General features: G+C 39.6%; 1 long non-coding RNA gene across 2 annotated transcripts in view; it reads left to right on the forward strand.

Annotated features, from left to right (window-relative positions):
- LINC01483 (long intergenic non-protein coding RNA 1483) overlaps positions 1–16,580 on the forward strand; it is a 309,014-nt gene that overhangs the window by 28,006 nt on the left and 264,428 nt on the right. For both annotated transcript variants that reach the window (NR_109971.1, NR_109972.1), the window contains exon 3: positions 2,678–2,760. This is a non-coding gene — a long non-coding RNA (long intergenic non-protein coding RNA 1483). The remainder of the gene's footprint in view (positions 1–2,677; positions 2,761–16,580) is intronic.

A 16,580-nucleotide genomic window follows, 5' to 3' on the forward strand; every position in this document is an offset into this window, starting at 1 on the left:
CTGTATATGATTATCCAGTTTTCCTAGAATCACTTATTGAAGAGGGTGTCCTTTTCCAGTGTCTGTTCTTGATGGCTTTATCAAAAGATCAGTTGACTATAAATGTGTGGATTTATTTCTGGGTTCTGTTGCACTGGTTTAAGTATCTATTTTTATAACAATACCATGCTTTTTTGGTTACTATAGTTTTGTAATATATTTTGAAGTCACGCAGTGTAAGGCCTCCAGCTTTGTTCTTTTTATGCAGGATTGCTGTGGCTGTTCTGGCTCTTTTTTGATTGCATATGAATTTTAGGATTTTCTTTCTATTTCTGTTAATAATGACACTAGTATTTTGATAGGAATTTCATTCAATGTGTAGATTGTTTTGGAAAGTATGGTCATCTTAACAATATCAATTATGCCAACCCATGAGCATGGAATGTCTTTTCATTTGTTTGCATCGTCTTCAATTGTTTTCATCAGTGTTTAGAATGCTTTGAGCCCACCCAAATAATCCAGGATAATCTTCATACCGCAGTATTCTAATTAATTACTTGTGCAAGGTCCTTTCTGCCATGTAACGTAACATATTCAGAGATTATAGAAATTAGGACCTGACATCTTTTTGTGTGTGTGGCAGGGTGGTGGAGGGCGTGGGGCTATTATTTCATTTACCACTGGCATGTGTTGTTTTATGGGAGAGGGGCATCTGCAGTGGGAAATGCTAGTCCTTATTAGAGGAATGGTGGGCTACCTCATGCCAGCGACTATCCATGCCCCTCCTTCCAACTGGGGTGCTGTCTTCTTCCTCTGCTGGGTGGTGGTTAGCCAGTTCTAATCCTCAACTCATTGCCTGTTTCTGAGGATCACTCCTGGCACCACTTTTGTTATTCCAGGTCTTCTGGGAAGTAGATGCCAAGACTGGATTAAACATGTGGGGAAACAGCTGGAAACATCTGGGAAAATGCCATATGAAGGAAAATGGGGAGGGGACTGAGATAGACTTGGAGAGCCTTCACAGTGTGAAGCAAGTGTGACCCTGAGAAGCAAGTGTGACCCTGAATGGATATCCCCCTCCTTCTGAGGGAAGTTCAGTAGTGCCCCTGGGGGGTCCTAAATCAAAGCTGGCCATCAGAGGAGAGCCTTTGTGTCCTAAGAATGGGTTAGCCTTGATACAATCAGTCATTGGCCAGGAGCAGCCTATGGGAGGTATACCCTTGGCACAAACCTGATGCTGGATTCCAGAGCTTGTTCTATTATCCTCCTGTCTTGGAAGATCTGTGAGGAACATTCTCATGCTGCCACAGACATCATTTTGGCTTTCAAACATTAGGGTATGTACTTTCAGTCGGGTGCAGTGGCTCACATCTGTAATTCCAACACTTGGGGAAGCTGAGGCAGGTGGATCACTTGGGGTCAGGAGTTCGAGATCAGCCTGGCCAACATGGTAAAACCCCATCTCTACTAAAAATACAAAAAATTAGCCGGGTGTGGTGGCAGGTGCCTATAGCCCCAGCTATTTGGGAGGCTGAGGCAGGAGAATGGTGTGAACCTGGGAGGTGGAGCTTGCAGTGAGCCGAGATCATGCCACTGCACTTCAGCCTGGGTGACAAAGTGAGACTCCGTCTCAAAAAAAGAAAAAAACTTAATAAATAAAAATGCAAAAATTAGTTGGGTGCATTAGTGTGTGCCTGTAATCCCAGCTACTCAGGAGGCTGAGGTATGAGAATCTCATGAGCCTGGGAGGTGTCACCCTTGCCAAGATGGATCCACTGCACTCCAGTTTGGGAAACAGAGCGAGATTCTGTCTCAAAAACAACAACAACAACAACAAACATTAGGAGATATACTTTAAACAATAAACATGTAACTATAAAATTACCACACGAGCCTCAAGAATGTAGTTTAAATACTGTAAAAAAAAGTGTTGTAAACATCCTTGAAAGTTAAAAGAAAGAGCACAAGCATTTAAAACAAGAAAAACATCATGGGTGTCTGTGATGGACCTTGAAGGATGATTGAGATTCTGATGGATTAATATTGGTTGAGGGGAGAAGGCATCCTTCATGGAGCAAATGATTGAACGTAATTTTAGAAGGAGGATGGTATGCATTGTCTCTGGGAACCAGGAATGGTACAATGACCTGAAGCATCAGGTGTCTGTAGGGAAACAATGATTGATTTGGTGATTAGCTGGGGTCATATAGTGGAGGGCAAGGACTGACAGAATGATTAGGAATTAGTCAAGAAATAGGGAAGGAAAAAATGTTCTAGAAGACACAGCAAGTGCAAGAAGAGGTAGATTTGAATAAAGATGATGAGGTCTAAGGGAGAAGAGTGAAGATAGCCATATTAATCAATACTAAAGGTAGGATTATTATTAGATCTTTGGGATCTAATAATAATTAATGAATTAATTAGATCTTTGGGATCTAATAATAAGATTTGTTTGGGAATTGTGAGAATCATTATGTTAAAATAATTTTAACATGGTAGCTGATTGTATTAGGGAGTAATGGCCAGATGAGAGTGGAAATAAAGACTCCAAGCCAAAAGTTGGAGAGTGAGAGATGAAAAATGTTGTGGAATTCTGTAGATTATAATAAAGATGAAAAAAAGAGGCAGACATAAGTAAGTGGCATGAATTACTAAAGAGTTGTTGGGATAATGAAGTACCCTGTTTTTGTTTTCCCAGAATATGAGCGTCCATCATGGACCAACCAATAACTTCAATAAAAGTGCTGTATCCCCTGGCAGATGATGAGTATCTTCAAGATGGTGAGTATCTTCATCTCTGTATCACCAGGACCTGCCTAAAAAAACAGGTCCATAATACAGTCTGTAAGAAACTATTACATAAATGAATGAGAAATGGATATCAGGAAAGAAAAAAACCAATTATCAATCGGGTATGTGCTGAGAGATGAGCAATGTCAGGCACTTTTGCCTACACCATTTTACTAATTTTCCAACAATTCAGTGAGTTAGATCTTATCCCCATTTAAGAAATGAAGATATTGAGGTTTTGAGGGCTTTAATAATGACTCGAGTTCCCATGATTAGTAAATGGCAAAAACACAGAGCAGGATGCTGGGTTGGGCAGCGGATGACAGCAGGAATGTTCTCCGTTGAAGAAGGCTTTGATATGGTTTTGAAGAAACCTGGTTTTGGTTAACACTAGGAAATTGAAGGAGTTTGTGAGAAGAAAGGTGCAATTTAGTGGTGAGACAATGAACATCCAGATGATGCAGTGAAAATGAGACTTTTCATTGACACTGAGTAGGAGCGAGTAGGGTTAGAATGGTCCAGTAATTGAACATTGATGAGAGGTTGGAAAGATACAGTTTCAAGAAAGGATTTGAAAACCCAGGATTTAGGAAGCGTTTATTTGATATCACTTGCAGTTTGCTGAGGAACTGGGGCACAGAATAGAAAACAGTGGATCAAGTAATATCATGTATTGTTATCTATTGCTATGTAATAAATCATCCCTGAAGTTAGTGGATTACAAGAATATGTATTTTCACACAGTTTGTGTAGATCAGGAATCTGGGAATGGCTTGACTGGATCCTCCAGCCCAGGGATTCATACAAGGCTGCAATCAAGGTATCAGCCAAGGCTGCGGTCATCTCAAGGCGTAACTGGGGCAAGATCTGCTTTCAAGCTTACTCACAATGCTGTTTGCAGAATTCAGTTCCTGCTGGGCTATTGGACTAAGAGCTACAGTTTCTTAGTACTTAGCCTCTCCAGAGGGCAGCTCACAATAGAGTAGCTGACTTTATCAAAGTGAGAAAGTGAGAAAGAGCAAGAGAGTGCCAGCAGGATAGAAGTCACAGCCTTTTATAACCTACTTTCAGAAGTAATAGCCCATCACTTTTGTTACTTAGAAGGAAGTCATTAGGTCTAGGCCACCCATGGTGAGGGGTTACACAAGAACATACCTACCAGAAGGCAAGGATCACTGGGGGCTATTTTAGAAGTAGTCTACTCCAAAGTGGTTCACCAGAAACGAGTTGCTCTTTCTCAACAAAGAATTAGAGGTAAAGTTGTTGAGAGAGAGTTTAACATGACATAAAAGAAGAATTGGTTATGAATCATGGCATTCGGATCTATAAGGAAGTAGAATGATTTATCATCCTCAGATTGACCTTTTTGATTCACTTTCTTCAATGGGCTTTCTGGAAAGAAGTTACCTGGCACCTTACCTGACTCTCTCTCAATTGAAGTGTTGGTTAAGGTAGAATGGCCTCACCAATCTTTCAGTGTCTCATCCTTATTTGAACATTCGATCGTACAGTAGATTTGCAGTCTTATAGTGTGTCAATGACAGCACCACTTTTTCCAAATCTTATCCAGTGATTCAGTAATAAAGGCATTTCTTGTGATTCTGGAGCCTCAGCTAAGCTTTGAAACACACGTTCTGTGGCAGGGCAAGTTTTTTCATGGTCTTCAGTGGCCAAAGAACAACAGTGATTGTGATAAGTTCCTAGATGGAATGATAATCTGTTGCAGGTATTCAATAAAGAAGAATCCAAACATATTAGTTTTTAAGTTTTTGTTTAAATTTAATTAATGAATTAATAAATTAATTAGTTTTCCAGATGGCATCTCACTCTATTGCCCAGTCTGGAGTGCAGTGGTGCAGTTATAGCTCACTGTAGCCTCAAACTCCTGGGCTCAAGCATTTCTCCCACCTCAGCCTCCCAAGAAGCTGGGAGTACAGGGTTCACCACCCTGCCTGGCTAATTTTTTAAAATTTCTTTTTAGAGATGGGGTCTCACTTTGTTGGCCATGCTGGTATTGAACTCCTGGCTTCAAGCAGTTCTCCCTCCTCAGACTCCCAAAGTACTAGGATCACAGATGTGAGCCACCACACCCAGCACCTAGCCTCTTAGTGGGGAGAGGGAACACCTTTTTTTTTCAATCCTCTGGAAACCAGAAACTTGTTACTGTGGATTTTAAAGGAATTTCAAAGGTCTTCTACATTTTTGTGGGAGACAAACTCAACCAAAACGCTTTCTCCTCATGAGGGTACTAAGACAACTCAAGGGTAAAATAATAGTTTTTTTTTGTCCTGGCGCAGTGGCTCACGCCTGTAATCCCAGCACTTTGGGAGGCCGAGGTGGGCGGATCACGAGGTCAGGAAGTCGAGACCATCCTGGCTAACACGGTGAAACCCTCTCTCTACTAAAAAAAAAAGTACAAAAAATTAGCCGGGCGCGGTGGTGGGCGCCTGTAGTCCCAACTACTCGGGAGGCTGAGGCAGGGGAATGGCGTTAACCCGGGAGGCGGAGCTTGCAATGAGCCGAGATTGTGCCACTGCACTCCAGCCTGGGCGACAGAGCGAGACTCCATCTCAGAAAGAAACAAACAAACAAACAAAAATAATAGTTTTTTTTTAATAGTGCTGGACAAGTGTTACCTACATGTAAAAGAATATAGTTAGATCCCTATCTTATATACAAAAATTAACCAAAAATAGATAAAAATCTAAATGTAAGAGCTAAAACTATACAACTCTTAGTAGAAAACAGAAGAGTACATCTTTGTGATAGTGGATTAGGCTGTAGTTTATTAGACATAACCAAAAACAACAAAAGGAAGAATAGATAAATTTGACTTCATCAAAATTAAAAACTTCTGTGTTACAAAGGATACCATCAGTGAAAAGGCAACCCCACAGATGGGGAGAAGAGATTTGCAAGTCATGTATATGATAAGGGATTTGTATCCAAAGCATATAAAGAACGCTTACAACTCAGGAAAAAAATAAAAATGAAAAGGCACAGAACCCAATTTGAATTCAGGCAAAGGATTAGAACAGACATTTCTCTAAAGATGACATACAAATGGTCAATACACACATACAAGGATTCTCAACATCTGTTAGTCATCAGAGAAATGAAAATGAGAACCACAATGAGTTAACACTTCACACCTGCTAGGATGGGAATAATAAAAATGACAGATAATAAGAAGCGTCAGTGAGTTAATGGAGAAATTGGAGGCTCAGACTTTGATGGTGGGAATGTAAAATGGCACAGCTGCTTTGACAAACAGTTTGGGATTTTGTCAAAAAGTTAAACATGGGCTGGGCGCCATGGCTCACACCTGTGATCCCAGCACTTTAGGAGGGAAAGGCAGGCAGATCACTTGAGGTTAGCAGCCTGACCAGCATGGTAAAACCCCATCTCTACTAAAAATACAAAAAATTAGCTGGGCATGGTTGTGCATGCCTGTAATCCCAGCTACTCGGGAGGCTGAGGCATGAGAATTGTTTGACTCCAGGAGGCAGAGGTTGAAGTGAGCCATGATCGCGCCACTGCACTCCAGCCTGGGTGATGGAGTAAGACTCCGTCTCAAAAAAAAAAAAAAAAATTAAATTAAATTAAATTAAAAAAAAGGTTAAAAACAGATTTGCTGTATGATCCTGTAGTTCCACTCCTAAGTATATACCTAAGAGAACTGAAAATACATGTCCACACAAAATCTTGTACATAAATATTCATAGCAGCATTGCTAATGTAAAAACAATCCAAATATCTATCAACTGATGAGTGGATAAATAAAATATTTGTTCTTTTTTTTTTTTTTTTTTTTAAGACGGAGTCTCTCTCTGTCCCCAGGCTGGAGTGCAGTGGTGTGATCTTGGCTCACGGCAACCTCTGCCTCCCTGGTTCAAGCGATTCTCCTGCCTCAGCCTCCTGAGTAGCTGGAACTACAGGTGCACGCCACCATGCCCAGCTAATTTTTGTATTTTTAGTAGAGACAGGGTTTCACCATGTTGGCCAGGATGGTCTCAATCTCTTGACCCCGTGATCTGCCTGCCTCAGCCTCCCAAAGTGCTGGGATTACAGGTGTGAGCCACCGTGCCCGGCAAACAAAATATTTATAATACATATAAACATTGGAATATTATTTGGCCATAATAAAGAATCAGGCACTGACACATCCTCCAACATGCATGGGCCTTAGAGACGTGATGCTAAGGGAGAGGAACCAGATGTAAATCACCACACATTGTATAACTGCATCTATGTAAAATATTCGGAATAGACAAATTCACACATATAAAGTAAGCCGGCAGTGGCTGGGGCTGAAGGGAAGGGGGAAAGGAGAATGAATGTTAATGACTATGGGGTTTCTTTCTAGGGTGATGAAAACATTCTGCAAATAGATAGTGGTGATCAATGCACAACTTTGTGAATATACTAAAAAAAATCACTGAATTGTACACATTAAAAGGGTAAATTTTATGGCATGTAAATTATATTTTCATGAGAGTATTATTTTAAAATAACCGTCCTTTCATCTCAGCCCTTCTGAGTTTTGAAATATAATTAGACAAATGATAGCGTGGATTATGGTGCTGGAGCCTCTGAGCCAATGGTAACCAGTTTAAACTTTTAGTCGTTTACACTCCATTATGCGTTTCTTGTTTTTCATTTTTGTTTTTGTTTTTACTTGAGACAGAGTCTTGCTCTGTCACTCAGGCTGGAGTGCAATGGCATAATCACAGCTCACAGCAGCCTCAACCTCTTGGGCTGAAGCCATCCTCCTGTCTCAGCCTCCGAAGTAGCTGAGACCACAGGCATATGACACCATACCTCGCTAATTTTTACATTTTTTGTAGAGATGAGGTCTTACCATGTCGCCCAGGCTGGTGTCAAACTCCTGAGCTAAAGCAATCCTTTTGCCTCGACCTCCCAGAATGCTGGTGTTACAAGCGTTAGCCACCATGCCCAGACCCATTACGTGTTTTTTATTTATTATATCCTGTTGAATGTATCTAACTCCATCACAAAACCCATCCCATCAACCTAACTGGGTATCATTCAATGAATTGTACACTTCCATTCAGTATGAATATAAAGGCCAGAAAAATCCATTTTTTGTTATTTCAGTCCTTTCAGTTTTCATTAATATTTTGTTTCTAAAGACGAATAATCTAATGAATGTAATTAGATGAGATGCTAACACATGTCACATAAAATCTAAGACAGAGTTCAAGTTCTAACTTCCCATCCCCTGAATTCTCAATTCTGTTTTTAACACTGGAAATAATTGTTTCTTGGCACTGGATCAGATGTATTTAATATATTTTAAAGCACAAGATGTACAATGACAAAAATTAAAAATGCCCCCAAAGAGGAAATTACAGCACATGATAGCTTATTATTATTATTTTTTTAATTTGGCAGTTTTCTGCTAAGTTCAAAGCAGCTGGGGAGAGTAGCAAGTAACAAAGTGAGACAGATTTATGAAGCCCACACTTGGCAATATTTTTGTGTAAAATTAGTCAAAATCATTATACTTGTAGATGAAGAAATGAATTCCAACAAGTTTGCATTTTTTTAAAGAAAAATCGTATTTTGTCTAAGTGAACTGGAAGAACTGAGCAATTTATTGGATTAGTTGATCACCAGCATTGTAACTCACAATAAAATTTGAGGATGTCTGCCAAGCATTGGCTCTCAGAGGAGCAGGATAATAATACACTGATTTTCAATAAGTAGAATTCAGCCCATATTACAGCCTATCTTCCTATCCAAAGAACTGAGGGGAAATAAGCCATTAGAAGAATTTTCCACTGAAACTTCTTTGTTTTGCTCTAATGTATTACTAAAATTTTCTGATAACAAAGAATGAGACAGATATAAATATGCACCATTTTAATAAAAACCCAACTACAATACATCAATTTAAAAATATAATTGAAATGGCTGATTTCAGAGCTGGGGCAGGATGGGCACAAGATGAGCCTGAAATATATTGTTATGCCATAAAATAAAAAAGCACTACATCCATCTACCTATCATGACCTGTCACCAGGAAAAAAATTCAACTCGAAGGGGCTACCACTGGGAAAATCTAGGTTGATTTGAGCATCAAATAATGGAGTACAATAATAAAGTATAAATCACTGGGAAAAAAGAAACTCATGGGTTTATACCAAAAATAAATAGATAAATAAGTGGGAGAGGAGGGCTCTTGCTAATAGCAGAATATTGAGGGCCAGTTGGTAAGTGTCAGGGGAGCACTGGAGTTGAAAACTTATCATTTTCCAACCATCGTGGTATGGATTGGATCCGATAAGAATAATCAATGGATTCTTAATATTAGAGGAAATTTTGTTGGGAAACAGAACATTTGTATGGTTTCAAAGTGTCTCTCTACAGACTGCTTATCTATTGTAAGGAAGTATGATGGTTAATAGAGTGTCAATTTGATTGGATTGAAGGATGCAAAGTATTGATCCTAGGTGTGTCTGTGAGGGTGTTGCCAAAGGAGATTAACATTTGAGTCAGTTGGCTGGGAAAGGCAGATCCACCCTTAATCTGGGTGGGCACCATCTAATCAGCTGCCAGTGCAGCTAGAATATAAAGCAGACAGAAAAACGTGGAAAGACTAGACTGGCCTAGCTTCCCAGACTGCATCTTTCTCCCATGCTGGACCCTTCCTGCCCTCAAACATCAGACTCCAAGTTCTTCAGTTTTGGGACTCGGACTGGCTCTCTTTGCTCCTCAGCTTGCAGATGGCCTACGGTGAGACCTTGTGATCATGTGAGTTAATACTTAATAAACTCAGATATACATATATATGTATCCTATTAGTTCTGTCCCTCTAGAGAACCCTGACTAATACAGGAAGACAAAAAAATACAGTAATTATGCAGTGGAGAATCAGATCACACCTTAACTGCACCTTGACCAGTGGTCCCAGTGACCATCACCCATGAACAGGTGGCCTTGTGTCCCTCCAGGTGTGACACTCCTGGAAGGACACCACATTACCTATGCAGTATTCCATCTGAGAACACATAACTTCAATAAAATCCAAAGGAGAAACATTCTATGAAACAAAAATAGGAATGTATTTTTCCAAAGCATCAATGTCATGAAAGACTGTGGAAATGTTTCAGATTATAAGAGGTCAAAAATAAAAGATAAGTGTTGATAAGGTTATAAAGAAAAGGGAACCCTGGTATACTGTTAGTGGAAATGTAAATTAATACAACCATTATAGAAAACAATTGGGGGTTTCTCAAAAAATTAAAATAGAAATACCACATCATCAGATGAGTAGATTGCAAAAATTTTCTCCCATTCTGTAGGTTGCCTGTTCACTCTGATAGTAGTTTCTTTTGCTGCGCAGACGCTCTTTAGTTTAATTAGATCCCATTTGTCAATTTTGCCTTTTGTTGCTATTGCTTTTGGTGTTTTAGATGTGAAGTCCTTGCCCATGCCTATGTCCTGAATGGTATTGCCTAGGTTTTCTTCTAGGGTGCTTATGGTTTTAAGTCTAACATGTAAGTGTAAGTCTTTAATCCATCTTGAATTAATTTTTGTATAAGATGTAAGGAAGGGATCCAGTTTTAGCTTTCTACATATGGCTAGCCAGTTTTCCCAGCATCATTTATTAAATAGGGAATCCTTTCCCCATTGCTTGTTTTTGTCAGGTTTGTCAAAGATCGGATGGTTGTAGATGTGTGGTATTATTTCTGAGGGCTTTGTTCTGTTCCATTGATCTATATCTGTGTTTTGGTACCAGTACCATGCTGTTTTGTTTAGTATAGCCTTGTAGTATAGTTTGAAGTCAGGTAGCATGATGCCTCCTGCTTTGTTCTTTTGGCTTAGGATTGTCTTGGCAATGTGGGCCCTTTTTTGGTTCCATATGAACTTTAAAGTAGTTTTTTCTAATTCTGTGAAGAAAGTCATTGGTAGCTTGATGGGGATGGCATTGAATCTATAAGTTACCTTGGGCAGTATGGCCATTTTCACAATATTGATTCTTCCTATCCATGAGCATGGAATGTTCTTCCATTTGTTTGTGTCCTCTTTTATTTCGTTGAGCAGTGGTTTGTAGTTCTCCTTGAAGAGGTCCTTCACATCCCTTGTAAGTTGGATTCCTAGGTATTTTATTCTCTTTGAAGCAATTGTGAATGGGAGTTCACTGATGATTTGGCTCTCTGTTTGTCTGTTATTGGTGTATAGGAATGCTTGTGATTTTTGCACATTGATTTTTTATCCTGAGACTTTGCTGAAGTTGCTTATCAGCTTAAGAAGATTTTGCGCTACAATCTACTCATCTGACAAAGGGCTAATATCCAGAATCTACAAAGAACTCAAACAAATTTACAAGAAAAAAAGAAACAACCCCATCAAAAAGTGGGCAAAAGATATGAACAGACACTTCTCAAAAGAAGACATTTATGCAGCCAACAGACACATGAAAAAATGCTCATCATCACTGGCCATCAGAGAAATGCAAATCAAAACCACAATGAGATACCATCTCACACCAGTTAGAATGGCGATCATTAAAAAGTCAGGAAACAACAGGTGCTGGAGAGGATGTGGAGAAATAGGAACACTTTTACACTGTTGGTGGGACTGTAAACTAGTTCAACCAATGTGCAAGTCAGTGTGGCGATTCCTCACGGATCTAGAACTAGAAATACCATTTGACCCAGCCAACCCATTACTGGGTATATACCCAAAGGATTATAAATCATGCTGCTATAAGGACACATGCACACGTATGTTTATTGTGGCACTATTCACAATAGCAAAGACTTGGAACCAACCCAAATGTCCATCAGTGATAGACTGGATTAAGAAAATGTGGCACATATACACCATGGAATACTATGCAGCCATAAAAAATGATGTGTTCATGTCCTTTGTAGGGACATGGATGAAGCTGGAAACCATCACTCTCAGCAAACTATCGCAAGGACAAAAAAACCAAACACCGCATGTTCTTACTCATAGGTGGGACTTGAACAATGAGAACACATGGACACAGGAAGGGGAACATCACACACCGGGGCCTGTTGTGGGGTGGGGGGAGGGGGGAGGGATAGCGTTAGGAGATATGCCTAATGTAAATGACGAGTTAATGGGTGCAGCACACCAACATGGCCCATGTATACATATGTAACAAACCTGCACGTTGTGCGCATGCACCCTATAACTTAAAGTATAATTAAAAAAAAAAAAGAAATACCACATCATTCAACAACCCCACTTCTGGGTATATAAACAAAGGGAGTGAAATCAGTATGTTGAAGAGCTGTCTGCACTGCCATGTTCATTGCAACACTATTCATAATAGCCAAGATATGGAATCAACCTAAGTGTTCGTCCATGGATGAATGAAGAAATGTGGCATCTATACACAATGGATTACTATTCAGCTTTAAAAAAGAGGGAAAGTCTGTCATTTGCAACAACATGGATGAACCTGGAGGTTGCTATGTTAAGTAAAATAAACCAGGCACAGAAAGACAGATATCATAGGATCTCACTCATCTGTGGAATGCAGAAATGTAAGCTTCATAAAATCAGAGAGCAGAATGCTGATTACCAGGGGTTGGGGGAGAATGGAATTGGGGAAAAGGATATAATATTTCAGTTAAACAGGAGAAATCAGTTCAAGAGATCTATTTTACAACATGGTGATGATATTTAATAAAAAATTAAAAGAGGCCAAAGAGACATGACAAGTAAATACAATACCTGATCTTAGACTAAATTTTGTACTGGAGTGGTGGGTGGGGCAATGTGATATATGGCCCTGTTAGATCAAATGAGAAAATTGGAATACAAAGTATAGAGAAAAACATTTGCCGATATTAAATTCACCAACGTTGACAACTTTTCTTGGTTATATAACAGAATATTCCTATTGTTAAGAAATACGCACTGATATATTAATAGGTCGAAGGCCATGATCTATTTACTTTACCATCAAGTGGTTCAGAAAAGAAATTAGATGTAGCTAGATAGCTATATACATTGACAAATAGTCTTAATGATAGAACAAATGGGGTAAAATGTTAAAAATAGGTGAATGTGAATAAATGGTAAGTGGGGATTTTCATATTATTTTTATTTCCACAATTTATCTGTAAATTTCAAGTTATTTCAAAATAAAAAGTTAAAAATATATCACTGATTTGGGTAATTTGTGTTTCTGTTGGCAAAAGGTTGCTTGCTTCTAAAGAACTCAGCAAATGAATCCCTGGACTTGGGAAATCCACCAGTACTTTTCAAATTATGATGACTTTGCAAATTAAAATTTGGAAGCAAGTTTGGGATTATGTTGAGAAGGAAAGGCAAAAGGCTAATTTTATTTCCATTTAAGAGTTACTTGGTTGAAAGAAAAACAAACTCACGTTGGCCAAAAGGAAATTTATTGTAAGTAAAGAAGGGAAATTTCATGAAAGCCAGCTGTGGGAAGTACTACTGGCATCATGGGAACTACAAAGATATCAGATGCTTCTCTATCTCTGTCTCTTTCTTTCCTTCCCTCTCCTATTTAGCCAGTTCTGGTCAGAACTACAGGACAACCAGGTCGAAAAATCTGGCAACTTCTTCAGCAAAAGTGACAAAAACATTTCCAAATAAGAGCACATGAGCTGTGCAGACACCTCATGTATTTTATTTTATGCTGAAATTAGAGAACAACTGACCTAATATTTGACTAATAACTTCATGAATTTTAATCTATAATTAATAATTTATCTTAAGGCCAATATAAGATTAAAAATATTAATGTGAGCAATGATATTCTTAGATTCTCCTTTTATAAATATCACATGGGCACAGAATGGAGAATGGATTTTAGAGAAACGAGAGTGTAGTGGGATATCATTTAGATGATGCTGTCATGGTCCAAGCAAAACATGGTGGCTTGGATGGGTATAAGAATAGCTGTGGAGATGGACAGAAAAGGGTAGATAAGGAATATCTTTAAGAAGTACAACTGAAAAGTCTTTGTGTTGGGTTGAATGTGAATGTTTGAGGAAGAGGTTTTCAAGGATGTCTCCCAGGTTTCCAGTAGGAGTGAATGGTAGAGACATTATGGAGATTGAAAACATTAGGGGAGGAGTAATTCTGGGGAGAAAAAGTCATGAATTCAATATAGGCCTTCTTTTAGTTTGAGAAACTAGTAAGATACAAATGGAGTTCTCAGGTTGCTAGATATATGGGTTCAGGGCTTGGAGCCCCAAAGAAAGAGCTAGTATAGAGAAAGAATCTTGAGAAAGGTTGATAAGTGTGTGGCATTTGAAGCCATGGCAATTTATGCAACAACTTCATAAGAAGGGAAAGAGCCAAACCTTGAAGAACTCCAACATATAAGGAATAGATGGGAAAGAAAGCTCTCCAACAAGAGACTGAAAAAAAAAAAAAAAAAAAGGTCTTACATGTAGGTGGGAAATTAGTAGAGTCTAATTTTGTCAAATCCACTGGAGAAGGCGAAAAATAAGCTAGTAGTCAACTGTGTCTCATAGTAGTGGAACCAGTAAAATGGGGCAGGTATTGTGCTCACCCTCTTTTTGCAAATGAAACAACGGTTGAGGCTCAGAGAGCTTAAATGACCCACTCAAGATCATGGAGCTACTAGGTAATGAGGCTGAGATTTGGACTCATGTGTCTCTGACTTTAAAGCCTATGCTTTTAAGCATTGCCTCATTCATTTCATCAACAAAGATTGATTTCATACTTACTACGCATAAGGAAGCCTGAAGATAATGTAACTAATAGGGCCTATATGATTTAGAGCCTGTACTCACTGAATGCAATTTGTTGCCAATTGAAAGTTGTGATTCCTGGGAATGGGTAAAAAAGGCTATGTGAGTTTTCTATTGCTGCACACCGAATTGCTGCAAACTCACCACATGAAACAACTTCCAATTATCATCTCCCAGTTATATAAATGAAAAGGGTGGGTGAGAGGTTCTGACTGGGTTCTATGCTTAGAGTTTCACAAGACTGAATTCAAGGCTGGCCTGGACTCTTCCCTGGAGACCTGGGGAAGAATCTATTTCCAGGTCCATTCAGGGTGTTGGCAGAATCCAGTCCCTTGCTGCTGTAGGACAGAGAACCCCATTTCCTTACTTGCTTTCAGCTGCGAGCCTTTCTCAGCTTTTAGAGGCCCCTTGCAAGCTCTTTGCCATGGACTTTCTCCCAGACCCTCTCATCAGTTAAGCTTAACTTTTCAAGGCTGGTAGCAGGATCTCTCAAATAGAATCCTCCTGAAATTTATAGTCGTTTGACTTCTCTTTTGCTATTAGCCATCGAAATCTCCATACTTTTAAAGGGCTAGTGTGATTAATTCAGGCTCAACTGCATAATCTCTCTCTCTTGCCTTATAACCGCTCATCATATTCACATGTTCCACCCACATTCAAATGGCTGGGGATTGGATTATACAAGGGTTAGGGTCACTGAGGGTCAATCTTAGAATTCTACCACCGAGGCATAAAGCCCTTGTTGCTTCCTTCTTCCCAAGCTCTCTGTTCTCCCATTTAAAAATTTCATAGTTGGAGAGAGAAGAATGCATATAGGTGATTAGTCCATTGATTTGACAGTAATACAATCAGCACTCTAAAAAAAAATTGCCTAGTATCTTTTCTCTGGGAACCAGCTTTCAAAGTGGAAAAAGCTAAGATGATTCTACAGCAGTGGGAATGTGCTTCATTTCCCCAAGATACCACAGCTGGGAAGCTCAGCTGCCTTTCTGGGAAGAGAGACTGCTCTGTTCTGCATGGAAGGCCAGCCACGAGGGAGCACATCCATGTGAGAATCTGAGGAAACAGTGCAACGCCATCAACATGGCATCAAATTCTACCACAGCTGCTTTGTTGCCTCTCCCAGAAAGATCAAGACAGACCACTGTCCAGAGAGAGAGAGAGGTGATTAAGGGGATAATAATGCTCTGGGTATGAGCAACACCAGGGACTTACTGCCCAAACTCTCAGTGAGTTTTCAGCTTACAGCTTTTTGAGTTGTACCAAGATGTCCTTTCTTTGGAAAAAGCAGAGAGAGAGAGAGAGAGAGAGACAGAGACAGAGACATGAACAATGCATTTAAGAAGGCTGCCAGCCTCTGAGAATCTGGGGCCTGGACTCTTGGCTTTCAGCTGAAAAGCCTTCAAAAGGCCAGGGAAGCGTTAGTGAAAATGAATGGAAAGCCTCTGACAAGCATGCTATGTGCTGCGGAAATTGCAAACAGACTTGGCATGCTTGCTCAGGAGCCCAACAGAATCTGAACATCACTTGGTATTATAAGTCATGGGACAGCAGGCACTTGTTTCACTGGAATGGGCTTTCACATTAAAAAAAAAGAAAAAAGATCACCATCTGTCTTTTTTTTTGGGGGGGGGGTGTAATTTAGTGCCCCAGGGAGGGACTTTGTCATTGTGTCTGTGTCCTGCACCTCTTTTGTAGTACAGAAGAGTCATGCAGCAGAATCAGTAGCTGTCTTGAAGTACTGAACAATGGAGAGAAGCAGAAGTCTTTACATGAAGGGTGTTTGGATAAGAGGGCTTCAATATAGACAGTCAGGCCTGGGTTCAAACCTTTATTCTGTCATCTACAATCTGGGTGATCTTAAACATGTTGCTTTGTCTTTGTGATTCCCAATTAGCTTCCCTGTGTTCCAGTTTCTCATCAGTAAAATGGGTGGCGGGGGATGAAATAATGTCTATGAGCTATGAAAATAAACTGACATAGAGAAAGCATTCAATAAATAGTAGAATCTCAAATGTAGATAGTATCCCATCCTACATTCAAAGAACCTGTTGGCTG

The sequence above is a fragment of the Homo sapiens genome, chromosome 17, assembly GCF_000001405.40.
Source record: "Homo sapiens chromosome 17, GRCh38.p14 Primary Assembly".
NCBI lineage: Eukaryota > Metazoa > Chordata > Mammalia > Primates > Hominidae > Homo > Homo sapiens.